General features: G+C 38.1%; 1 protein-coding gene across 2 annotated transcripts in view, besides 1 other annotated feature; it reads left to right on the top strand.

Annotated features, from left to right (window-relative positions):
* KDM7A (lysine demethylase 7A) overlaps positions 1-27,480 on the top strand; it is a 92,238-nt gene that overhangs the window by 15,987 nt on the left and 48,771 nt on the right. For both annotated transcript variants that reach the window (NM_030647.2, XM_047420879.1), the window contains exons 2-3: positions 21,807-21,892; positions 27,341-27,458. In NM_030647.2, the coding sequence (NP_085150.1) occupies positions 21,807-21,892; positions 27,341-27,458 (204 nt within the window). The remainder of the gene's footprint in view (positions 1-21,806; positions 21,893-27,340; positions 27,459-27,480) is intronic.
* Positions 1,234-1,528: a silencer, noted in NCBI's record as "tiled region #991; K562 Repressive non-DNase unmatched - State 15:Elon". NCBI's record gives its function as "represses a minimal TATA promoter and a strong SV40 promoter by Sharpr-MPRA in K562 cells {active_cell/tissue: K562}" and the evidence as "EXISTENCE:reporter gene assay evidence [ECO:0000049][PMID:27701403]".

The raw sequence follows: 27,480 nt of genomic DNA, 5'->3' as shown, positions 1-27,480 counted from the left end.
GTTTCTTTTTTGTGCTAGCCTGTCCTTATTTTCTTTATATCAAAGGATCAAAGTTTTCTTTGGAGCCCATGGTGACTGGGTGAACGCAGTCCCTTCTGTTTGGTTCAGGGACATCTTTCCTCTTACCTGCTTTTCCAACCATCCAAATGCCAAGTAGTCAGCGCTGGAGTCTACTCCCTGAATTTTTCTCTTCTTATCTTTGCCTTTGTGGGCATCCAGCCTGTAGTAGAAGAGGTCTTATCCCCAGTCTGAACTTGATTTTTCAGTTTTCTCATTCTTTACCCCGTAAGCAATTGATTATTCTCTTAAAGCTCCAAAGTCTTACACCACTCTCCCTCAGGATCACTTGTTGGGGCCACCCATCTCTTCAGGAGTGTTACCACCTCAGCCCTAGGGGAACTGCTACTTGATTTACCTTGGTATTACATCCTGATAAGCCCATCATAAAGTTGAAAAATCCTAAATGGAACCATTGTAAATCGGAGACTGTCTGTCCTGTGCTTATCTCTTGCAGGTCTGCAGAGTGTTTTGTTTTGCAGCCCTACCCCTTACCCCAGGGCAGCTGCTGATTCAGTCACCACCTCAGACATTCTAAGAGGACAGAACAAAGAAAGACCCTGATACAAGCTTCTTAGGACTTCAAGTAACGTTAGGATATGAGTGACTTTTCTTCCCTTTCCTTCCTTTCCTCTCCACTGCATCAGTGATTTTTTAGTTTCATTTACCACCATCACATTTCAGGCTTTCATTGGCCTCTATCACAGTTTCTGCCATATCAGTGTAACACTTTTGTTGCTTATTTAATATTTTTCTTTAAAACTGCTTTAAATGGATTTTATTTTTAAAAATTTACTTGCCTTAAACAGAGGTGTCTGCTAAATCGTGTTAGTGATGCTCACGCTACATTTTAATAGGTGTAAGAAAATATGTATTTATTGAAATAAAAAATATTATCTAAAATGTGTACCTATAAGATTGTCAGAAGGGTAATGATGATTGATAGGCTAGTAGACACAGAGAAAGGGTACAGGTTTTTTTTTTTTTTTTTTTTAATGGAAGTCAAGGATTGAAGAACTTAAATAAGCAAATGAGAATGGCTATACAAAGCAGGAGGCTTAGTAGAATTTGTCCCACTGGCAGGACAAACTTCCCTGGCCTTCAATTTCCCATAAAGCTGCCCTGTTGCCAGTGATATGCTGATTGCATCTGGATCCCATCAGGTCTAGCCATTCTTGTGGTTATATGGGTCCTGAGGTCCTCTTGATTCCTCCCTATTTTACTGGTGACATTGCCTGTTCCAGGGATGTGAGAAACTGCCCACAGCCTCAGGACGGTCCTCAGTATGAATGGCAAGATTGGGTGAATTGATGATCAACTTCTCAGGAATCTCATCTTCCTAGGAGGCCTCAAGCCTGCTTGAAGTCTGTTCCTCCACATATGCATAACGCGAAAAGGCAACTGCTAAGTCATATAGATTGTGGTCTTTGCTGTAGTTGGAAATTATCTTTAGGTGTATTAGATCCCATCCACTCATCCATTCAAGGACCTGGCTTCAACAGTTGTATCCCTACCTCACCATTTTTTTTTGTTAGCATGCCAATTGTACGCATATATCCTTTATTTTAATTTTTAATTTTTATTTTTTTCTCCAATATGGAGTTTTGCTCTGTTGCCCAGGCTGGAGTGCAGCGGCATGAACTCGGCTCACTGCAATCTCCACCTCCCGGGTTCAAGTGATTCTCCTGCCTCAGCCTCCTGAGTAGTTGGGATTACAGGTGTGTGCCACCACGCCTGGCTAATTTTTTTGTATTTTTAGTAGAGACAGGGTTTCACCATGTTGGCCAGGCTGGTCTTAAACTCCCGACCTCAAGTGATCTGTCCACCTTGGCCTCCCCAAGTGTGGGATTACAGGTATGAGTCACCAAGCCCGGCCTGTATCCTTTATTAAAAGAAACAAACAAACAAACAAAAAACCCTTTTCTTGACTGACATCCCTTTTCAGCTGCAGCCCTGTTTCTTTGCTACCTTTGTAGCAAAATTCACCAGGTTGTTCCTACTTGCTGTTTCCAGTTTTTTGGTTTTTTTCCTTTCCTAGGAAATGAGAGGTCCCATTTTCTCTTGTACTCAATCCAATCAGGCTTTCATTGTTAACACACTATTGAAACAGTTCTTTTCAAAGTTATCAGTGAGCATCACTTAACTTGGCATCTGGGGAACCCCTGTGCTGATTTTCCTTCTGCTTTGCTACCCCTCCTTCTCAGTTCTTAACTGCAATTGCTTCTCGTCTCCCTGATCTTTTATGGCTGGGTACCCCATGGTAACTCAGTAGTTTTTCCAGCGCTCACCTGTTTTCTTTCGTAGCTCTCTCCCCTGAGCTCAAGTCTTGAATATAAATTGCCAACTTTATATCTCCACTTGGATGAATAGTAGGTAGGCCAACCTTGAGTGTATGCAGAATGAAACCCCACGACTCCCTCCCTTCTTGATCAGAACTGCTCCTCCTGTAGTCCTCTTCATTTCATTTAATGGCAGTCCTTCGTGTTGTTCAGGGCAGAATCTTTAGAGTCATCCTTGATGCTTCTCTCATAATCTGCACTAAATTATTTGGCCAAATCCTGTTCGCTTACCTTCAGAATCTCACTACTACTGGTTGCCTTCATCACTATCCTTGTGTAAGATGGGCTTATTGAAGTAGCCTCCTAACTGGTCCCCCTCTGTCTGCCCTCCAGAAGCCAGAGTGGTGCTTTTAACATGTAAGTTGTAAGTCAATACTTAAATGAACTTTAGTGGAACATTTGTCCTCTTAAGGAAAACTTCTCTGAAAATTCCCTGCTCATTGCCACAATTTCTTCCTTTCTTTTTAAATAGTTCCTGAAGTACTTCTTTCTCTGGGGAACATCTCTTAAGATTGCTAAGATATTTTAATCCCTTTTGCAGGAAAGACTATTGCCCTTTTCCCACCTGCTTCAACATTTCAATTATTATTATTATTATTATTATTATTTATTTATTTATTTATTTATTTTTTGAGACGGAGTCTTGCTCTGTGGCCCAGGCTGGAGTGCAGTGGTGTGATCTCGGCTCACTGCAACCTCTGCCTCCTGGGTTCAAGCAATTCTTCTGTCTTGGCCTCTCGAGTAGCTGGGATTACAGGCGTGTGCCACCACACCTGACTAATTTTTTTTTTTTGTATTTTTAGTAGAGACAGTTTCGCCGTGTTGGCCAGGCTGGTCTGGAACTCCTGACCTCAAGTGATCCACCCACCTCAGCCTCCCAAAGTGCTGGGATTACAGGCATGAGCCACCATGCCCTGTATCAATTATTTCTTTGTTTGTTAATTGATTAATTAGAGTCTTAATCTGTCGACCAGGCTGGAGTGCTGTTGCATGATCACAGCTCACTGCAGCCTTGACCTCCCAGGCTCAAGCGATCCTCACACTTCAGCCTCCCAAGTAGCTGGGACTACAGGCATGCACCAACACACCCAGCTAATTTTTAAATATTTTTGTAGAGTCAGAGTCTCACTATGTTGCCCAGGCTGGTCTTGAACTCCTGGGCTCAGGCGACCCTCCCACCTCGGCCTCCCAAGGCCAGGGTTACAGGCATGGGCCACTGTGCCTGGCCTCAGTGTTTTCACATAATGGTGTAGTCTCATAAGAGATTCATGGTAGCTGAGCCTACCATAGTTCAGCGTAAAGCTGAGGCTACCCTCAGTGGTGGGACAAAAAAATCCATCGATTTTATTCATGTCTTTAGAACTGTCACATAGTGAGTTGCTAAAAATAATTATTTTTCCCTTTGGAGAATTCCTAAGATCCGAAGATGGTTCTTTTCCTCCTATACAGCTCAATTGTGGATTTCCTCATCAAGTTGAACAATTTTGTCCTTGATCTTTGTTCAGTAATTATTAAATATTACCCAAGTATTATTTACTGAACCTGTACCTATTTACCTGTAACTATTTATTATGCCATTTTGTGTATATTCCTATTCAGTGTTTATCCCTAGGAGGATGCTGAGATAAGAGAATGGAGCAGAGGGTGAGTATGAAGATGAGCATATCTGTACAGGAAATGTGCAAGTTAAGGGTGTGTGCATTAGAGGTTTGCGAGACTAGGCTTGTACATATGCAGCAGGCTCTGTGGGAGCCCCACCCGGATCCCCTGGCTTTCTCTATTTCCATCTCTGTCTCTGTCTCTGTGAAATACTTCTTGCTGAAAGCACCTGATACTTGGTCTGAGGGCATTCTCTAGCTGCAGGAGCTCAGCAGCTTGTACTTGAAGCAGGTCTGAAATGCTGGGGCATTATGCCTCTGGGATAGCCCTCAGCCATTATCTAATGGGAGATAGTAGATAAATACCTAGCTTCCTCTCTCCCTTTGGGTGGGACCTTTCTGAAGCCCCTTATACTTAGTCTTCCAAATGTCCCCAGGGCTCCCTCCCTTTCTGTGTCTCACTTTTCCATTCACTTACCAGTGCTTCCATGGATCACTTCCCATCTGAATGCCTGCAGTCCTGTCTCAGGTTCTGCTTATGGGGGACTCCAACCTTAAACCAGTAGGTAAATTGTTAATGAAAAGAAGGATAATAAGCAAGAGATAGGGGATTTGAAAATAGAGTTTGGATTTCATTGATAACAGATTTTTCACATGATAATCGTGTTTGTGTATTAACGCCTGTGTAATTATGTGATTTCATTTACCTATGTCTGTGTGCAAAATGTATTGTGAACATGGCTGTCAAAGTAGAATATGAAAGCTGCTTTCTTACTTTATTGAATAGTTCTCTGGTCCTGCTACCTTCAAAAAAAATACACTGCCTTGAAGGTTATTTGTGATATGATTTTAATTTGAAGCTGTTTGTTGCTGTCTTATTTCTCCCTTCCTTTAGAATCCCTTCTTTTTCAAAACACTAGAAACCTCCCATTATGGTAAGTAACCTTTAGCATGAAAACTGTTGCAACGAAGTGTTAACATTTCACAGATTAATTGGCATATAAGAAAACTAGCAACCACTTTACCATCGTTGGGGAATGATATGGTCTACATACATAAGATTTTCCTATAACTGATAGTTCTACTTGTGAAATGTAACTGTCCTCAGAAAAGTTACTCAGGAGATTAAACTGCTTTAAATAGTGTAGTATTCTTTCAAGAAGAGCATGTCTGTCAAAATCCTTCTAAAAATAGTTGGCATATAATTTTGTTGACTAAGTATCACGGACCTTAGTTATCTTCTGTGCCATGTGGGCTGCTGGACTGTTTGTGCACCAGATTGCCCCACACCAGTGGCCATTTATCGATGGTGTTTTATCTCCTTCCTTGCGATTCTTTTTTCCTGTTGCCTGTTAGTCTGCTTTGACCAGTTCCCACTGTCTCCTAATTTTGTTTTCTTAACTAGAGCAAAACAAGATGTCCACATGGGATTAGGCAACAGGTCTTCTTAAATTGCCCACTCCGTATTCTGATACACTGGTGACAAAAGGATGACCCTAGCCAGGAATGGAGTCAAGCTGTGCAAAAGGGATTTGGCAAATATCACTTAAATAAACCTGGCAGTCAGGGTTGGAATTTTTGAAATCAGAGTGCTTGTGGTGCTAGATTATACCTTTGAATTCTTACCCTAGGATAGAAGCTATGCCTGGTGGGTAAAGGTAGCCCTGGCTTCCAGGTAATCTTATCTAGAAGAAAATCATATGGCTGGCTTAGAGATATGTTATATCTTGCTTCTTATGTAGGTCTTGTATTTTGATCTACATAAGAAGATTTGACTCAGTCATTAGACTTCAGCCTAGAAAGTGCCTTACAAATACTTGTTAATTATGTTGTAATAAGGGTAATTGGAGACAAACAATTTGTTTGTTTCTTTTGAGGTTAAAAAGATAGTTTTAGAAAGTTTTAGTGTATGATCAGTTATTGACTTCTTTGGTTCATATGTATTCATTAACGTGCTTTGTTAGTAGTCAGTAAATGCTTGGTAATGCTGTCACCATTTTAGTCTCCTGTGTTGATAAAGGGGTGGTTTTACTATACACTTGGTTTATTGGTACTTTGTACCAATTGTAAAATTGCAAAACATTAAAAATGTTTTAATTTTGTAAATTTAAATCATAAAGTTGTAACACTTATAATTATAAAAACAAATTTATAATAAACTCTTCATAGCTGATGAGTCTGAAAATTAGCTTCTAAGGCAATTTTCCAAGGTGGAAAATAATAACCCATGAAGTGTTTTGTGGGGAAAAAAAAAGGGAGAGAGAGAGAGAAAGACCCGAGGTTGGGTACAGTATTTATCACTTATGCTTGATCCCCATCATGGAAATTGAAAGTGCTTGTTAACTTGTTAAATTCACTGAGAAGTATTGCTGGTAAATGAAGGTGATTCGATCTCAGCCCAGTGTCTCCCTTATGTTTCTCTTACGAACTGTGGAATCTTTTTGTGAATAACTTTGACTCCTGCAGGACACTGTTTTTTGTCTTTTTTTTTTTTTTTTTTTTTAATTTTAAGAGACAGAGTCTTACTTTGTCTCCCAGGCTGGAGTGCAGCGGTGCAGTCAGCTCACTACAGCCTCAAACTCCCGGGCTCAAGCAGTCTTCCCACCTTAGCGTCCTGAGTAGCTGGGGCTACAGGTACATGCCACCATACCTGGCTAATTTTTAAAAACTTTTTTTTTTTTTGTAGTGACGGGGGTCTCATTATGCCCAGGCTGGTCTTGAACTTCTGGCTTCAAGAAGTCCTCCCGCCTTAGCCTCCCAAAGTGCTGGGTTTTTAGACATGAGCTACTGTGCCTGTCCAGGACACTTTTAAAAAAAATGTTTTTTAAGGGAATGCTGTAGAGCCAGTCCTTGCTTTGCAGGGTTCTGGTGTGCACTGATTTCAGTTACCATTAGATAACAACACTAGTCACCCAGGATTCAAATTTCAGTCACCATGGTGTGTTACCTATGAATGCATAAGTACAGACTCTTCAGTATGCAGATCAGAAATCACTGCAAAAATAACAGGCACGCGTCTGTTCTTCAGTTTACACGCAGACAGGAGAGCATGTTTTGCTGCCTCCTTGCCTCTCAGTAATAAACTTACATGACCTATTAGCAAAATAGATAATCGAAAGTGGGAAGTGGCCAGTAAAAATGAAAGAGCAACAAAGAAACAAAAAATGATAACTCTGGAAGTAAAATCCAATTGAGCATAAATGGAGTAATAAAATAAGTAACTGACAGTGGGAACGCTGCCACTGCCGCCATTTGCGGAACTCTAGACAGGCAGCCAGAGGCACTTAGTGAAGGCATGCTAAATGGCATAATGTTTTAAATTATAGTGTACTAAAGAAGTATTAGTTTTACTGTTTTTTCATTTCTCTGTACATTATAACCAACAGTAAGAGAGTTCTTAATGCTTTGACAAACATTTTTAAAGTTCACCAGAACAATTGTGATTTCCCCCATTGATTATTAAAATCACTTGGCATGATTTCAGCTTGTGTGATTACTTTTTTTTTTTTTTCTTTTTGAGACGGAGTCTCGCTCTGTCGCCCAGGCTGGAGTGCACTGGCGTGATCTCGGCTCACTGCAAGCTCCGTCTCCTGGGTTCACGCCATTCTCCTGCCTCAGCCTCCTGAGTAGCTGGGACTACAGGTGCCTGCCACCACGCCCAGCTAGTTTTTTGTATTTTCAGTAGAGACGGGTTTCACTGTGTTAGCCAGGATGGTCTCAATCTCCTGACCTCGTGATCCGCCCGCCTCGGCCTCACGCATGGTTACTTTTATGGTCCTGCACTACCATGCAAAGTAAGGACCGCCTATATTTTCCTTACATTTGCCTGTCATCGATCACGTGACCTTTAGTGGAAATTAAGAATTACAAAATGGCCAGCACTTTGGGAGGCCGAGGTGGGCGGATCACGAGGTCAGGAGATCGAGACCTTCCTGGCCAACATGATGAAACCCTGTCTCTACTAAAAATACAAAAATTAGCTGGGTGTGGTGGCGCGTGCCTGTATTCCCAGCTACTCGGGAGGCTGAGGCACAAGAATCGCTTGAACCCAGGAGGCAGAGGTTGCAGTGAGCTGAGATGGTGCCATTGCACTCCAGCCTGGTGACAGAGCGAGACCCCGTCTCAAAAAAAAGGAATTACAAAATGGACTTTGAGGAACCTATAATGACAAATTATCTTTTGAAGGGATCCAACATGTGAATAGGTTAAAAATCCTTCTTACACTTTATGTACTTTACATATTGCCCTGACTTGTATGTTTCGAAATAGAATGGTCCAGTGCTTGCTGTTGACCTTTCCTGGCAACTCAGCGTCACCTATTTTGCTATTGATGGATACTTCTGATTTGTAATTGTGTTGGATTTCTTTTTTTTTTTTTTGAAACGGAGTCTCACTCTCGCCCAGGCTGGAGTGCAGTGGGATGATCTCAGCTCACACTGTAACCTCCGCCTCCCGGGATCAAGTGATTCTCACGCCTCAGCCTCCCAAGTAGCTGGAATTAAAAGTGTGTCCCACCACGGCCAGCTAACTTTTGTATTTTTAGTAGAGTTGGGTTTTGCCTTGTCGCCCAGGCTGGTCTTGAACTGCTGGCCTCAAGCAATCCATCCTCCTTGGCCTCCCAGAGTGCTAGGATTCCAGGTGTGGGCCACCACTTCTGGCCATGTATTAAAATTCTTTGAGGTCTCTGGGTCATATATAAATTTCCACGTAGGATGTTGTTACCAGTTATGTCAAGATTTTTGTGGTTCAGACCCCTACTGTAACTCGTCTTTCATCAAGAATGAAAAAGCATACTAAGGATATTAAGTTCTCCTTAGAATGTTGCCTTAGTTTCTGTTCCAGCAGAGAGGCCTTTAATATGAATGCTTTCTCTTGGCTTGGCTTGGTTTGGAATGTGTTTATTCCCCTTAGATGCAGGCACTGAAGACTATTTATGAGATGAGAAAGGTTAGTAGGAAAACTAGATCTACTTGATTTGCCTTAGTTGACTCTTGTCCATTGTAGTTGATTCATCACTAAGTGTCCTAGATATATGTTTTTGCTATTATCTTTTATCCCAAGGTATGATCTTTTATTCCTGTATATATTCAATCTTCTGTAGGTTTCATTAGGCCCTAGAAAATATAGCTTTCCCTTCTGTACTTGCAATGGGAAATAAAACTGTCTGCTGGATTGGAGAGTTTCAGATGCTTATTCATTCATCTTTTAAAGATCCTATTTATTTCATTTATAATCCATTTGTCTTCTTCTTTTACTGACATTCCAAATGTCAGATTAAGATAGGGACATTTAGGAACTACATGAAAGGAAAAGTAAATGGGCATAATATATACATTTGTGATGAATGAAGACCTTTTTTCCTGTACAAGAGGATTATAGTTGCCTGAACCTAAATAATCAGGAATACTGTGTCCTTTTTCATTGAAAAAGGTATGGACATTTCAGAATAAATTCTTGAAAGAAAAAAATAATCAGTTCTGTACTTTCCCCCTCACATTCATTTTCTATCCCTTTATATTTGCAAAATTTATATTTAAACGGGCTCCAAGATGGTAGCCCAAGCGAATGTCTCCCTGATGTTCTTGGCATTCCTGCTTTGTGTCAATCAGTAAATATTGTGTGAGAATCCACTATGTAATCAGCTTTAGGTAGATCTGTGGGCAATGGGAAATTCTGAATTAAATATTACCCATGTCTTTAAGGAGCTTAAAGTCCAACGAAGCTTTCATAGAAAGTCACTTCCTATGAAAATTTGGTGTCGCACTAGCCATGATGCTAGAGTTTTAGATCAATAGTTCCTCAGTGCCATTTCTCTGCTGAGATTGCTGCAAAAGAATCACCTGGGGAACTTGTTAAGAACAGAGGTTATTGTGGCCGGGCACGGTGGCTCACGCCTGTAATCCCAGCACTTTGGGAGGCCGAGGTGGGTGTATCACCTGAGGTCAAGAGTTCGAAACCAGCCTGGCCAACATGGTGAAACCCCATCTGTACTAAAAATACAAAAAATTAGCTGGGTGTGGTGGCTCATGCCTGTAATCCTTAGCTACTCAGGAGGCTGAGGCAGGAGAATTGCTTGAACCTGGGAGGCGGAGGTTGCATTGAGCTGAGATTGTGCCATTGCACTCCAGCCTGGGCAACAAGAGTGGAACTCGTCTCAAAAAAAAAAAAAAAAAAAGAACAGAGATTATTGGGCCACACTCATTAACTTTCCCTGTAGAGCAAAGGTGGGGCTCAGGAATGTGTTTTTCTTTTTAAAAATAAACAATGTACACTGCTGATTTCAGAAGGTATAGAGAAGGTTCTATGGTGAAAAGCAATTCTCCTCTTCTCCATTCTATATCCATTCAGTTTTCTTTTCCCAGAGGCAACTGCTGTTACCAATTTCTTACATGCCCTTCCAGACATATACCTTGCATTTACAAACATAGGGATGAGGGGATCGCATACAAACTGTTACGCACCTGGCTTTTGTTGCTTTACAGCAAGCGTATCTTGGAGATCTTTCCATATTCCTACTTACAGAGCTGCATCATTCTTTTGAAAGGCTGCCGTGTAGAAGCTTATAGAAGCTTGTAGGGGATTCTAATGCATAGCCAGGTTTGGGAGCCACAGATAGACTGAGTGTTAAAGGGATTTAGAAAGTTTTTAGTGTGTTAATTCCTTATGTCTTGCATTTCATGAGGAACTGGACTCAGTAAACATTTCATTGTACTTCTAGGTACTAACAAGTTTTTGTATAATGTTTCTTCTTGTAGAATTCATCAGTCAAAAATAGTGACAGTAGTAGGGTGTATATATTTCTTTATTGATGAGACCCTGTGTGGTGGTCAAAGCTGCTAGAAACAGGAAGGTTTTCCCATTTTCCATCTCTGGGCTCAAGGTGCTTAGTGCTGTTTCACCTTTCCTTAGTGTTAAGGGAGGTGGGAATGGATAGAGAAGAAGACAGAAAGCAGGTAGTAAATTACACCATAAAACTTGCTCTGCCAAAGGAATCATTTTTCTCTACGCGACTTTCACTCTAATACCTATATTTAAGAGAGGCATATAAATATTCACATGTGTTGTAGAACTTCACATACATACTGTTATGTATATACACACTTCAGATATATATTACAGATAGCATACTTCTTGCCTTTGTTAACTTAAAAACATTGCCAAGCAAACCTTTATGAAATTGATACTATTTATCATCATGGCAAGTTTTTTCTTCCCTAAGATGATTTACAAAGTTCTTACCAAATTCTCACATCATATTCATTTTGGGATGATATTTATTTGCTGTATCACAGTTTATAAATAAAAGAATAGTCTTTATCTCCACAAAAATAGCAGATATACTGGGCACTGTTTGTATCCTAATTTCTTTAGTCTGTGTAGACATTCCTCATACCCAGCCAGGTAGGCAGAAAGTAGGCTGAGGAATAAGAGAGTATTAACTTGAGAATTTCACTGTCCTTTTCACCACAGGACAGTGAAAAGTAAATATAGTTAGCTTCTTGAATATTTCAGAAATGTAAAGCACCTCCTCCTTCTTTAGAACATTCTAATAAAAATTATTACCTTCATGAAATAATGATTTGTGCTTATTTGTAAGGATGCATTCACCATTTGCATTGCCAGTTACTCTGTGTCCAAGATGTCAGGCAGTAAAGAGCAAAATAACAAGCATTTATGTACTTGAAGCAAATAATGTATCACCATACAAATCATATTGATGTGCATATTTCACATATTCATTGTGGGACAGATTTAATTAGAAGCTTGTCAACAGGATTTTTAGCTTTTTGGGGAGTATGTTTTGTACCACTGAGTGCACATCTTGGCTCTTCAACCTAATTTTCCTCTCATGTTGTTTGATCAGTTCCTTTTTATACTGTCTTTCTCCCTTCACCCTTATTATCATAGATTCTTTTAATCAGCTGGTTGGAAATAACTCTGGAAGCCCTGGGACAGTTGGAAGCATGAGCCCTGCTGTTGGAGGTAGGAAAAGTGAACCATAAGTGAACCTTAAGAGATGATTGTGAACCAAAGGAATTTGGTTCAGAGTATGCATTTACTTCAGACCCCTTAAGCATATAGTATGCCACTAAACAGCTTTAATGTGTCAATTATATAATCTTCACAAAAGTGGAAACATACCATATTCAATTTATGAAGAAACCATTTAATTTTGTGAAAACAGTTTTATGTCAGCAAGAAAATAATAGAAGTTGGGTTTTTCTGAGCCACAAATTTAATCATACATTACCAGTTTGATTTTTCACTGGAAATAATTCATACAAATTATAAATTTTTACCTTAGCTGATATCTGGTAATAAAGTGATCTGTCTCAGGGTTAAAACATTGTATAAAACGATTAACAATTTAAAAGTGAAAATGCCTATTGGCATCCTAGTATTTTTAGTAAGAATGTCAACTTATTAAGCCAATTAATAAGCCTTATTTTTACTGGCTAGCAACGTAAGATTTTTGGACAACAAAACCATTGTTCTACAGTTTCATTCTAAGCATTTTATGTATATTAATTTTCTTAAAAATCCTTTGAGGGGGTTACTGTTACTATTTCCCATCTTTACAGATGAGACCAAAAAACAAAAAACAAAACAAAACAAAACAAAAAACAGGTAAAGTAAGTTACCCGAAGTCATACAGCTTACTAAGCGGGGTAGCTGGGATTCTAACACAGGCAGACTGACTCGAGAGAGAGAGATTTTTCTCAACTCCACCATCTAAAATTAATTAAAAATAGAAAACAAATTCTCTCTTTTTTTTTTTTTTCTTGAAGCATAGCCATTTGAGTGCCTGGTGTGTGCTCTGAAGAGACCTTATTGAAGAAAAAAATACTAAGCCCAATCATAAAAGCCTAGTTCCTATTTGGGCTCAAACCTCGTAGCTAATACGCTGTTGATTAGGGCAGTGTTGGCTGACTGGAACCTGGTAGAGACATGATAATAATATTAATAGCTGCTGTTTATGACTTAGTATGTTTACTGTGCCATTGCTTACTATAGGCTTAGTCCCATGCTTTACATACTGACATACATTGTCCTGCTTAATCTCAGGGGAACGCCTGCTCCTCAGGCAGATTGAGAAACCTGCTCCAAGTCAAAACAAGTAGAGCTGGAAATCAAATCAAGTCTTTCTAATTCTACAATCTATGCATCCCATTGAAGCCAGTTGATATGTGTTTATCCGGTGTCATGGAGGTAGTAGACTGAGGATACCTTGCCTCTCCTATAGCTGTCTCTAGACCTAAACTGACCCCAGAATCAAGATAGGAAAGGAAACATGCAGAGCAAGCTGTCAGCTATCCTCTGTATTCCCGGAGTTAATTTACCTCAAAGGCCACTCCCCATCCTCCTTTGTTAGTGTGGGACTTTAGGGGTACACAATGACTCAGTCCTCTGATTATGTCACATGTCACAGTGAAGAAAATGAGTAGTTGGGTGCTTTGGATGAGAAGGTGAATTTCTGATACACAGGTGAAAACTTGAAGCAAAATTTCCGATATATAAATCTCATTACCACAGCCTTCTACTGTCTAAGGAAAGATGAAAGTTGTACTTTACATGTTGAAAGAGCTTTCCGTTTTTACCAGCTGTTAAGAATTTTAAGAAAATTCTTTAAAAAATTCAAACCGAATAGAATTTTAAAAAATTTTGCCACAATATATTAGTTTTCAAGTAAGTTTGCAGCACAGTTAATAGTCAACAAAAATTTACTGTGATCATCTTGTACTTGGTATTGAGAGAGAAATCTTAAAGAGCTCAGTTCAGGGAATAGGATATAAAAATTGCTCAGTATTAAACAATGTTAGGCCATAAGTCAGTGGAAATGTGTTTTTTTTTTTCCTACCCTTTTGGTAGGAAATGTGTATCAGTAAAATGTTGAAGGACTTTCTGTGGTGTGATCAAGTAAAGTATCATCAAGGAGGAGGAATTTGGGGCTTTGAAGACTAGGTAGTGTAAGATCATTCAGTGAAGAATGGGGAGAGTATCTGAAGCAAGAGGAATATCTAATGAAGTCCACGGACAGTAAGATCTGAAAGAATTTGGCCACCCACTCTTCTAACACCAAGAGTAGAGAATATAAATGAGAGTGTTATCCGAGAGGAAAAAAGAGAACGTTTGGCTGATCCTAGGGAATTTCGGTTAGTCATTAATTCAATTCAGTTCTCATCAAGTGTCAGAAAAAAATGCCAGCTAAGCAACAATTTCAGAAGATTAAGACAATGGAAAGTGCTAAAGTTGTCACTGCCCCACTCACCAAATGGCAGTGAGGCTGTTCTATAGATGGAAGCTATTCAGCAAAGGTCAGATTGTCACCCTGTAGGAAAACACCTCCCTTGTGCCCTCACACACAAAGTGGTCTAATAAGCTAAACATTTTGCTTTTAGGAAAAAGTGTCACAGTCTATATATGAAGGAAAGTTTTACAAGAGAAGTGAGTGGAAGAGACTAAAGAAGGTTATGTGCCAGGTTTGAAAGTGATCCTTAGAAAATTTGCTTTCAGAGTTGTGCTCTTTGTGTGTCCTACTGCATTTCCTCTTAACATATCTGTTATAGCTATCATGATTCTAGCAATTTTTTAGTAGGGAGGCAGTGAGTGAAGGATGGAGTGGGTGATAAAGAGAGTAGGGAGAAGTTATGCCTCCCTCTGAGAGAGAAACGGAAGTGTAGGCAGTAGTTCCTTTTGGTTCCTTTCAAAGACCTGAGATAATTCTTGGTTTAGGAATGTTAACTTTTTGTGTTTAATTTTATTTTTTAAAATTGTATTTTGTATGGTTAATTTAAATGGACTGTTTTTCAGATGTACTAGTTTACCAGATTTCATGTTTTTATTGATATATCAAATTTACTGTTGTGTTGTGTTGAATTTCAAAATAAATGGAGCTATGAATGTTTTACCAGTTGATTAGAACTGGCCCAAACCTGAAGCCTTCACTGACATTTCATAAAACAGATTATATGGGGTGAGGTGGGATGACAAGTAGACACTAGAGAGAGGAACTCATACATCATTGAAGATTAATAGTCATGTTCAGCCCAAGGTGTTCTTAACTAATTGAAATGTCCCTTTCTCCCCTTTTTTCCCTAACCCTCATGGGAGTCATTCTGATTTATGTATCTTAGATGTCATGGAGAGTTTATGATATGCTGGTTTAGGTTTTTCAGGACACATCTAAACATTTTTTTTCTCTAATTCTTTTGGTGTCACAGTCACTTCTTAGGAGTGAGGAATGTGGCCATGGTCAAGGTGAGACAAGACAAACTAGGGGTTTCTATAGAAAAAGTGCCAACTTGGCATCTGTTAACATTGAGTTTCTGTTTTGGTGGGAGTATAGTACCTATTTCTTTTGACACTTAATGAACCTTGCATTTAAAATCAGGGAAGTTTGGTTTTGAACTTGTTTTATTGAATGCAGAGATAGCTCTCATGCATCTTTTCACTTATCTGCAGTGATCTTTTTGTTGCCCTTTAGCCACACACTGTTTCCACACTTGGATCTTATCACTGTTATAGATGATGCTACCTCGGAAATGTCAGATTCTGAACATTCTACTCTTTGGGCATAATCTCGCCTCCTTATAGGTCAGTTGCTCAAGGCCTTCCACGGACTCAGTGCTGGGAGCCATTAAGACCCCTCAGATCATCTCACCATTTTCTCACTACCTTCCGTCTTCACATCTTTTTTGACCACTTACATTTCACGGGTCATCCTTTAATTCCCTTGTAAATATCAGGAACTCCTTTTCTGGTCTTTACCTACAAAAACCCCAACTCTGGATGAATCCAATTTCCTGCTCTGGGTCTGCACCACATGGGTGAACATTGTTGAAAAAAAATCACATAAATACATAGGAATGGTTTTGTATTAGGCTGTTTAAATGGTTTTGTAGTAGGCTGTTTTTGCATCATTATAAAGAAATACCTGAGGCTGAGTCACTTATAGAGAAGAGGTTTAATTGACTCATGGTTCTATGGCTGTACAGGAAGCGTGGTGCCAGCATCTGCTCCTGGTGAGGCCTCAGGAAGCTTTCAATCATGGCAGAAGGCGAAGGGGGAGTAGGTGCTCTCATGGTGAGAAGAGGTACAAGGGAGTGGGAGGGAGGTGCTATACATTTTTAAACCAGATCTCATGAGAACTCACTGACCATCCCTAGGACAGCACAAGACATTCCTGAGGGATCTGCCCCTATGACCCAAACAATTCACACCGGGCTCCACCTCCAACATTGTGGATTACGTTTCAGCATGAGGGTGTGTGTGTGTGTGTGTGTGTGTGTGTATGGTGGGGACAGACATCTGGAACCTCAGGTGGATTTGGACTCTGAACACTAGCTAGCAATCTTATTGTGTTTCTTAGTCTTTCGTTCTACAGATCACCCCTTTTATATTTCCTTTCCTCATACCTCTCTACCTTTTTCCATACTCAGCTGAGTGTCTCACACTAAACTTAGCTGAGAAAAGTAGAAGCCCTTAGACTGTAGTATGAAGACCAGTTTATCTACTTTTTCTTTTGTCCCGTGTGCTTTTGGTGTCAGATCTCAAAACCCATATTCTGATCCGAACCCTTGAAGACTTACTCATGCTTTATTTCAAGAGTTTATAGTGTTAGCTCTTACCTTTAGGTATATCATCCATCTGAGTTAATTTTTGTATATGGTGTGTGGTAGAGGTCCAAACACATTCTTTTGCATATGTATGTTGTCTCATACTATTTGTAGAACAGACTCTTCTTTCCCCTTTGAATGATCTTGGCACTCTTGCCAAAAATCGATTGGCCACAAATGTAAGAGTTTATTTCTGGACTCTCAGTTCTATTCGGTGTGTCTATCCTTATGCCAGTACCACAGTCTTGATTACCATAGCTTTGTTAAGTAAGTTTGAAGTCGGGAAGTGTGAATCCTCCATCCAGTGATTCTTAACCTTTTCTTTGGGTTACAGGAACCTTTTTGAGTTTCTTATAAGAAACTATGGACCAAGGGAATTGTATGTAAAGATATATACAATTTTGTATAACATTTATTTATTGAATTGGAAATTTATAGTCTTTCAGTTAAAAAATAAGTTTTTAAACAATTAGCATATTCACCTTTTGCTTTCTATGGGAAAAGTGATGTAAATCCAAATTGGACAAATAAAGTAAACTTATGTTCTACTCAAAAGCAAAGTGTAATAGCTTGATTTAGTTATGTGGATTCAGTATTCAAGCAGCAATGTCATGTTATTTGTTGACATCTTTTGGTTTTGACCTTTTGGGATTGCAGCAAGCTCTACTCAAGCTCTCAAAGACTTTACAGTAGCAAGTGTACTAGAGTTCTCTCAGGTGAGAGTAGGCTTGTTTTTGCATATCCGGAGGTCTCTGATTTATTGCTTTTGATATTTTGTTGTAGTTATTAGATTAATACATTTCAAGATTTTTGTTTACCTAATTTTTTACATGGTTGTGGGTAGAATTTTAATTGTGAAATTTAGTATTTTAATTGTGTATTGTGTTGTGTATTTTTATTTAGTATTTTAATTGTGGAATAATAGAGGAAATGTGTCTAAAACATAAATCTACAGTTTAATCAATAATTATAAAATATACACCCATGTAATAATTGTCTAGAACCCCAGGACACCACCTGCCATCCTTTTCAGATGACAGTCCTCAGAGGAAACCATTGTCCTTTCAAGATCCATCTCTTCCTTGTTTTTTTAAGATAGTTTTATTATCCCTAAACAGTATACTTCGGCTTTCCCTAGTTTTGAATTTTCTGCATACATAGAATATATCATATGTACTCTTTTATGTCTTTTTTTTTTTTTTTTTTGAGACGGGGTCTTGCTCTGTCACCCGGGCTGGAGTGCAGTGGCACCATCTCGGCTCACTGCAAGCTCCGCCTCCCGAGTTCATGCCGTTCTCCTGCCTCAGCCTCCGAGTAGTGGGGACTACAGGCGCCCACCACCACGCCCGGCTAATTTTTTGTATTTTTAGTAGAGATGGGGTTTCACCGTGTTAGCCAGGGTGGTCTCGATCTCCTGACCTCGTGATCCGCCCGCCTTGATTAACTTGTAGATTTCATTCATTTATTGTATGATTTTTTTTTTAATTTGCATTACCATATAGATTTCTGTTATGAGAATATACTGTATCCATTTTACTATTTATAGACTTCACAAATAATGATTCTATAAGCGGTTTTGTATAGGTAGGTATCCTGGTGCACATGTGCCTGAGTTTCTTTAAGGTGTGTTTACCTAAAAGAGGATTTGCTTGGTCATTGAGTAATCATAGAATATTTGATTCTTCAGTTTTAGTGCAGAATTGTTTTCCACAATGGCTGTATCAGACTATCAGTTTAAAGTTCCTATTGCTCTACATCATCTTCAACACATGGTATCATCAGGCTTTTTAGTTTTAGCTGGTCTGTTGGGTATGTTGTGGTATTTATTGTGCTTTTAACTTATATTTCCCCCAGTTACTTATGAGGTTGTACACGTTTTTATGTGTGATTCAACCACTTAGAGTTCCTTTTATGATGTGCCTATCCGAGTATTTTGTTCATTTTTCTATTGGTTTTTTTTTTTGTATTGATTTATAGGAGTTCAGTATATTCTGGGTATAATTCCTTTGGTGGCCACCTGTATTGTAATGTCTTCTGCTACTCTGGCTTATCATTTCACTCTTTATAGTTTAATGAATAGGAGTTTATTTTAATATGGCTGAAGTTATCAGTTTTCCCCCTTATGGACAGTGCTTTTTGTGTTTTGATTAAGACAGTCCTTCCTGTCATAAAGTCATAAAGATATTTTCTATATTATGTTATACAACCTTTGTACTTTGTGTTTTATGTGTGTTTAGGTTTATCATCTACTTTGGAATACATTTTTATGAGATAGCAAAATAATTTTATTTTGCTTCCTTTAAAAAGATATATAAATATCTTTTATATATATATGATATATAAATATCTTTTTAATATATAAATATATATTATATATAAATATCATTTATGGATATATAAAATATCAAGCCTATTTTATATAAATATATTTTACATAAATATGTATGTGTTTCTTTTTATCTTAACAAAGATATATATCTTTCTTTTTTTTTGAGACAGAGTCTCACTGTATCACCCAGGCTGGAGTGCAATGGTGTGATTTCGGTTCACTGCAACCTCCACGTCCTGGGTTCAAGCGATTCTCCTGGCTCAGCCTCCCAAGTAGCTGGGATTACAGATATGCGCCAACATGCCTGGCTAATTTTTGTATTTTTAGTAGAGGTGGGGTTTTGCCATGTTTGCCAGACTGGTCTCAAACTCCTGACCTCAAGTGATCCGCCCACCTCGGCCTCCCAGAGTGCTGGGATTACAGATGTAAGCCACCCCACTAGGCCAATATATCTTTTTTAAAATAAAAAGATACATATATATAAGATATTGATATAGAGGCTATATAAAAAGTGTCCAGGACCTTGTATTGAAAAGTTTATTCTTGCCGTGTGCTCTTCCGTGCCTCCTGTTACATATGAGTGCACACATATACATGGATCTGGTTTTGGGCACTGGCATCTGTTTCATATTGCCTTGATTCCTAGAGCTTTAAAATAAGTCTTGATACTTGGTAGAGTTTTAGGGTGGGGGGGGTTTGTTTTGTTTTTGTTTTTGTTTTCTGTGAATGCTTTGAGTATTCTTGGCCCTGTACATTTCCATATTAATTTTAGAACCAGCTTGTCAGGTTCCACCGATCTTGATTGGAATTAAATTGAATCTATAAATCACTTTGAGGAGAATTAATTAATATCTTTACATTATTGAACCTCAAACCCATGGTCGTGGTGTATATCTCCCTTTATTTAGGTTTTCTTTAAAGTCTCTCAATAATATTTTATACTTTTCCCTAAAGAAGCTTTGCATAGTTTTTGTTAAATTTATTCCAGTGTACTTGACATTTTTATGCAGTTGTACATGGTATTTCACTTTTTAGCTTTATATTGTTGGTTTATGGAACTAGAATTTTTAATATACTAATATTTAGCAATCTTTTTCTTGATTCTTATGATTTCTCTATAGATTCTTTTGCATTTTCTGGATGTGTAACCATAGCACTTGCAGATGACAGCTTTTTTTCCTAATTCCTATGCCTTTTAATTCTTTTCCTTATTTTACTGTACCAGTTCGATCCTCCAGCACAGTGTTCACTAGAACACTGAATAGTATTCAGTAGTAATAGCAGGTATTCTTGCTATTTTTTTTTTTTTTTTTTGAGATGAAGTCTCACTCTGTTGCCTACTGCAACCTCTGCCGCCTGGGTTCAAGCAATTCTCCTGCCTCAGCCTCCCAAGTGGCTGGGATTACAGGCACCGGCCATCGTGCCCAGCTAATTTTTGTATTTTTAGTAGAGACGGGGTTTCCCCATGTTGGCCAGACTGATCTTGAACTCCTGATCTCGTGATCCACCCGCCTCGGCCTCCCAAAGTGCTGGGATTACGGGTGTGAACCAGCACACCCAGCTGCTGTGTTCTTAATCTCAGAGTGACTGGTTTCATGTTATTTGCATAGGATGTTTTAGAAGTATCCTTTTCCAGATTATGGAAGTATCCTCTAAGCTTGCTAAGAGGTTTTGTTATTTACTTTTTAATCAAACATAAATGTTGAATTTTATCAAATACTTGTCCTGAATCTTTTTAAATGGTCATATGATATTTTTCTTTTAATCTAATAATGTGGTAAGTTTCACTGATTTAAGATTTTTAGTGTTAAAAACCACCTTGTATTCCTGGGATAGACCCAACTTGATATTTGCATCTTTACTCATAAATGAGGGTGACTTATAATTCTTTCCAAGTTTTGGTACCAAGGTTATGCTGTCATTAAATGAGTTAGGGAGCAAATCCTTTTTTCCTACTCTCTGGAGTAAATTTGATATAATATTAGATTTATTTATTTCTTGAATATTTGATAGAACTTGCATGTGAGGTCATCTGGGCCTGGAGTCTTGTTTGTGGGTCAATTTTTAAAATTACTAAGTGATCGTTCAGGACTATTCAGGCACTCTATTTCCTCATGACTCAGGTTTGCCCATATCTAATATTTTAAATCTCTTAGCATGAAATTGTTCATAATATCCTCATTTATATCTAATGTCTTTAGGATCATTCCTAAAATGGGCTATGCCTTTTCTCTTTTATCTTGGCCTTGCTAGAGGTTTACCAGCTTTGTTAATCTTTTCAAAGAATCAATTTTTGTCTTCAATGCTGTATTACGTGTTTTTTATGTCATTGATTTCTGCTGTTTATTTTTCCTTCTATCTGTTTTTAAGGTTTTTTTGTCTATTCTTTTTGTAACTTCTTGAGGTAGATACATAGCTCATTAATTTCAGCCTCTTTTTTTCTAGCAGATGCATTTAAAGCTATATGTTTCTGTTTACAAGTGCTTCATCCCACAAATTTTGTCATATTGTATTATCATTGTTCACATTTTAATATGATTTATCTTTTGATTCATTTTATTGACATTTAATAACAGTGACATTTACATAATGGTTGAGGATTTTATGGCTTATAATTGCAGTATTTCTGATGTCTCTACTGCTGCTAAGAGAGGATTACTTTGAGTATAGTATATTCTCCCTCACACTCACTTAGCAAGTTTGTAGAGAACAGAATAAAATTTATCTTTATATGTGTTTCTGTGCTCTACAAAAATGTGTTGGTGAGGTGGTTGTACATTTCTCAGCTAAATTCCAACCACTGTATTATAGTTAAGCGAAGATTTTCAACTTACTTACATACTGATTTTGGTTTCCTTTGTCTTAGCTGTGTTGGAGTAGAAGAACATCATGCTGTTGACATTGACCTGTATCACTGTCCCAACTGTGCAGTTTTACATGGTTCCTCCTTGAGTAAGTACTAGATGCTTAAATAAAAATGGACATTTCAGAAAAACTGACATTTCAAACTTACATGTACATGGTAATACTTTAATGATACTCTGAGGAGTTATATTACACCCTTCAAGAACTGTAGGGAAAGATTTTGCTCAAGGTATTTAGGATGTAGTTTTTGTTTCATTAAGTCAGAAGATTAAGGGGGGAAATGTACTGTCAGTCTTAATTGCCAGTGCAGAGTCCCCAAACTCAACTACATAGTTTGATATCTTTCAATTTGAGAAGTGTGGTAAAGTAAAATTTTTCTGTTTCTGGAAACTGATTTCACTTGTTTTGCTCTCTTCACAAATAGAAGATCTTTAGTAGTATTTTGGGAGAGTATACAGAATAAGACTTTAATGCACTCATATGCCTTATATTTTAAGGAGAAAATGAGAGCATTGATAAGCTAAAATATTACTTATATTTTCTGAATTTGGTTGCTGTATTGAGTATGGCCTGGAGTCCTGCCCAGCCATCCTCTCTGCCTGAAACCCCTTCCTGAGATCTGAGGAAGTAGAGATACAAGGACACACCAGACCAGGTTTCTGACCACACTCTTCTTCCTAAGAAGGGAGAGCAAAGCCAGGGAAGCCTCAGGCATCTTTTGGAGTGGACCAACATCACACCTAATATGATATCTATTTTCAGCTTTTTACAGATGCTTCAGAATCTTTTACAGGTGCTTCAGAAGAATACATTGAAATGTTGTTATTGTGCAAATGTGAGAGAAAAAGGCTTGGATTATGTTATAAATTTTTTTTTTTTTATTTGAGACAGGGTCTTGCTCTGTCACCCGTGCTGGAGTGTAGTGGTGCTATCATAGCTCACTGCAGCCTTGACTTCCTGGGCTTAAGTGATCCTCCTGCCTCAACCTCTGGAGTAGCTGGGACCACAGGCATGCTTCACTACACCCAGTTAATTTTTTGATATTTTGTAAAGACAAGGTCTCACTTTGTTGCCCAGGCTGGTCTCGAACTCTGCCTCAGACTCCCAAAAGTGCTGTGATTTCAGGCATGAACCACCACACCTGGCCTGTAATAACTATTTGTTTTGACATTTTAGGCTGCAGACTAGCATTTTTATATTCACAAAATTAAAGGGAAAATTATAGGCTTTGTCATTTTAAAACCTTTGCCTGAATGTACCTTGATACACACTTGGGTTGGTTTTAGGTAACTTATATGACCTCTTTATTTTACATGCAGCTTTTTTCCTAGTACTTTTTTCCAATAGAGTAGACATTTTGTTCTATTTTTTCAAAAGAGACTTACTGGCAACTGACTGCTCATTTGTTTTGTTAGAAATATTAGTAATTTTTCTAATATCTTTGTAAGATACTTAAAAATTTAAGCTACCTGCATACATTAAAATATTTCCTTTTAAAATAGAGGCTATTCCTTTTGTTAAGTATACAGCATAAAAATTGAGGTTAGCAAATTGGGGGAACTGTTACATGTGTAATTGACTAGTTTATTGTCATAAATGTTTTTAAATGATTTTTCTCTGGCTAGCACTGAGTATATGATATATAACTTGAAATAATTGTTGACTGGGAGTAACTCTTGGAGAAAGTAAATAAATAATATGATGTTATCTCAAGGGAGACTTAACTAAAATTTATAGCAGTTTTAGTTTAGAATTTAAGTATACAGTCCCAAAATGAAATAATTTGAATTTAACTTCTATGAAATACTAAGTAAGTTACTATGAGGCAGAATAATGTGATACACTTCATTTTTTTCTATATGATTTAATTTTTTAAAAAACATGTTATACTCACTAAATTGATTACACAATCCATAATGGATCACGACTTAACTTTGAGTAATTATGCTTTGGAGAGAAGCTTGCCTATGCTTCTCATCCCTGAAGAACATAAGACCAGGCATTGACTATCTTCTGGTCAGACGTCCAACTCTGTGTACTTACAGGGAAAACACCCAAGATCCAGTCATCTGTTCTATCTGGATTTAAGGCTCACCTTCCCTACTCCTCACCTTCTATCCCCAACTTGGTTAATCCCTTTTGATCCCTTTCCCTCTGCTATTAAGCTTCTCTCTTTTTTTTTTTTTAATTTATTTTTTATTTTTTGAGACGGAGTCTTGTGCTGTCGCCCAGGCTGGAGTGCAGTGGCACAGTCTTGGCTCACTGCAACCTCCGCCTCACAGGTTCAAGCAATTCTCCTGCCTCAGCCTCCTGAGTAGCTGGGATTACGGTTGTGTGCCACCACACCTGGCTAATTTTTGTATTTTCAGTAGAGACAGAGTTTCACCATGTTGGCCAGGCTGGTCTCGCCTCGGCCTCTCAAAGTGCTGAGATTACAGGCGTGAGCCACTGCGCCTGGCCTCTTAGGCCTGTCTTACTTGCTACCTGGGTTTCCTGTTGGTTTCAGAGATTCCCTAGGAGTCCTTATTATTGATACCATTTAGCCAGTATAATAACTACTTCATATGGTGAATTTAGACTTTACCCTCTTACTGGGAATTAAGAACTCTATTTGAGGGCAGGTATCAAAAAACAGCCCACAAATAACTTAAATATGTATTCTCTGTCTTCTTTAGGCACATGCAATCCAAACACAAAATTTTCTCCTTTCCCTTTAACCATTACTAAAATATTCCTTCACTGACCTCCTTCCTTTAAGAAATTCAATCAGCTGTTACATAGTGGCTGATTTTATGGTTAGCATGTTGGCCCAACAGGACAATTGTATCCTTCTGTTAACCTCCTCCAAGTCAGCACATTTAAAAGGAAATGATAGTGATTGGCAGCTTATTACATGGTAGGCACTATAGTAGGTAAGTAAGTACTTAACCTATGTTATCTTCTTTGACATTTATAACAACTCCATGTGAGAAATGAGAAAAATGATCTAGCTAGCCCTTTTATGTAGCTATTTGGCAGAGCTGGAGTTTGAACCCCTAGCAGTCTAATTCCAAAGCTGATGCACTTCACTGATTAATCTCTTCTGCAAAAATGAAAATTAACTACTGGGGTTGCTGAGATAGGAGGATTGCTTGAGCCCAGGAGCTTGAGGCTGCAGTGAACTGTGATTGCGCCACTGTACTCCAGCCTGGGTGACAGAGGGAGACCATGTCTTAAAAAAGAAATAAAACTTAAAAATGCAATATCATACTTTACCTATCAAATGGGCTGCCTTTTTTTTTTTTTTCTTTTAAGTACTGATGCCCATTGTTAACCCAGGGGTATGAAATACGCTTCTTATATAATACTAGTAAGGAAAGTAAGTTACTAGTACCACTTTTTTGGAGACAGTTTTGTAATATGTAGCAATTATCTTAAAAATGTTGGTCTTTTTTCTAGCATTTCTTAGAATTTATTCTGAGGAATTAATCAGGGAAACATTAATATATACAAACATGAATTTCAACTTTGAAGAAAGATTCAGAATGAACTAAGTGCTTAAGAATCAAAAAATGATTATAATATGGTATATCTACATCTTAAAATTGTAGTCTGTTTTAAATATTTAATAAAAAGAAAATGCTCATTATATAATAAGAAAGATAAGCAGGATAAACATTGTGATCCCAATTGAAGATAAAATGGAGTTATGGGCTGGGCGCAGTGGCTCACACGTGTAATCCTAGCACTTTGGGAGGCCAAGGTGGGCGGATCACAAGGTCAGGAGATCGAGACCATCCTGGCCAACATGGTGAAACCCCATCTCTACTAAAATACAAAAAATTAGCCGAATGTGGTGGCACACCCCTGTAGTCCAGCTACTCAGGAGGCTGAGGCAGGGGAATTGCTGGAACCTGGGAGGCGGAGGTTGCAATGAGCCGAGATCATGCCACTGCACTCCAGCCTGGCAACAGGGCAAGACTCTGTCTCAAAAAAAAAAAAAAAAAGGAGTTATGTATCTATATATAGTAGAAAAAATCTGGAATGAAATACACTCAAATTTAGGAGTGATTTTAAATGAGAAAAAATAACATGCAAAGGATGTTTTAATGGAATTTCCTAGGAAGTTTGCTTTGTGATTCTAAATTTTTGTGAGTTTGTTTTTTTTTTTTTTTAATGGGACTTACGCTCTTCCATATTGAAGATTTGGCTGCCATAAGTTACTTGGGAATCTTGTTTTAGACTCTTAGATAGTTGAATAAGCCTGATTTCCACCTCTGTTAATTATTGTGACTTCTTATCGACATGAGGACCCAATGTTGTTGTATTACTGTGATCTTTGTAAGGTGGAAAAGGTTTAAAATAACTTGGAATCATAAAGTTGTTTTCCCCAAAACATATTGTGAAAATGTTCAAACATATAGGAAAAATTGGAAGAATTTTACAGCAAGCACCTATAAGCCTTATCATCTAGATTCTACTATTAACATTTTCATTACATGCTCTAACACATATCTATCCATGTAACTATTCTGCTGTCTACCCATCTTATTTTTTTGATGCGTTTCTAAATAAATTGCAGATATCAGTACATTTTCCAGAATCATAGAGGTTTTAGGCTTAAGAGTAATTTTCAAGCTTAAAAAAAAAAAAGATTTAAAACAGAAATTGTACATTGATACAACACACAAGAGCTGTAGGTAGTGCCACTCTGCTGGAAAGAGGAATGAGGTCCAGAGATCATTCCTTGGCTTTTTCCCCATCTCCCCTTTGTGAAGGGTTCTTCCACACAGTTTGAAAATTAGCAGTTTAATCCACCCCTTCATTCCTACATTGAGGAATCTGGATCCATAGGTGTTAAGTGACCTGCCCAAGATTGCAGAGAAAGCTATTGGCTGAACTAGGAATCAAATCCAAATCTTCTGATTTCGATTGCTGTGACTACTCAAGGTCATAGCCTTCCAGAGCTGTAGAATTACAGGGTCTTAGCATTGGAATAAATGATGAAGTTATGTATTTTGTCATGCTACCCGTCTTTCTTTAATTATGACTCAGTCACCTGCTCTTCTTTATGTCAGTGTAACTGTGCTTATTTAGGGAGTAAGTCTTCACATGAAAGAGGAAGGAATGATGCTATTAGAATAGATTTCTAATGTGAGATAAAAGGCCCTGTCCTGAGAAGACGATTTGGATTATCTGGATAATCATATTAGGACCTAATGTTCTGATGAAAATCATAATTGTATATAATTTGGAAATTGTATAGTATCTATAAGTGTGGACATTATAAAAGGCTCCATCTGCTGATTTGAATTTGTTGCTTTAATTTTATATGTTTTGAAATAAAAAGAGTAGGTTTTAAAAATCCACAGTTAATTGTCTGTAATTGCAGCATTACATTAAGCAAAATTCTCAGGCCTGGAAATGCATTAAAAACTTGAGTGTTTTTAATGTACTTACAATTGTTATTTCTGATTATGTCGGATATAATGATTAGAAATCACATAGTATCACCAGTTACCAAAATCATTTTTTTTTAATCTTTTAAAAATCCAGTGAAAAAAAGGAGGAACTGGCACAGACATGACTACACAGAAATTGATGATGGTTCCAAACCAGTGCAAGCTGGAACTAGAACTTTCATTAAGGAATTACGCTCTCGAGTCTTCCCAAGGTATGGAAACTTACTCTGATAA

The sequence above is a fragment of the Homo sapiens genome, chromosome 7, assembly GCF_000001405.40.
Source record: "Homo sapiens chromosome 7, GRCh38.p14 Primary Assembly".
NCBI lineage: Eukaryota > Metazoa > Chordata > Mammalia > Primates > Hominidae > Homo > Homo sapiens.
The sequence above is the reverse complement of the archived record's forward strand: the minus strand, read 5'-3'. Positions and strand labels throughout refer to the sequence as shown.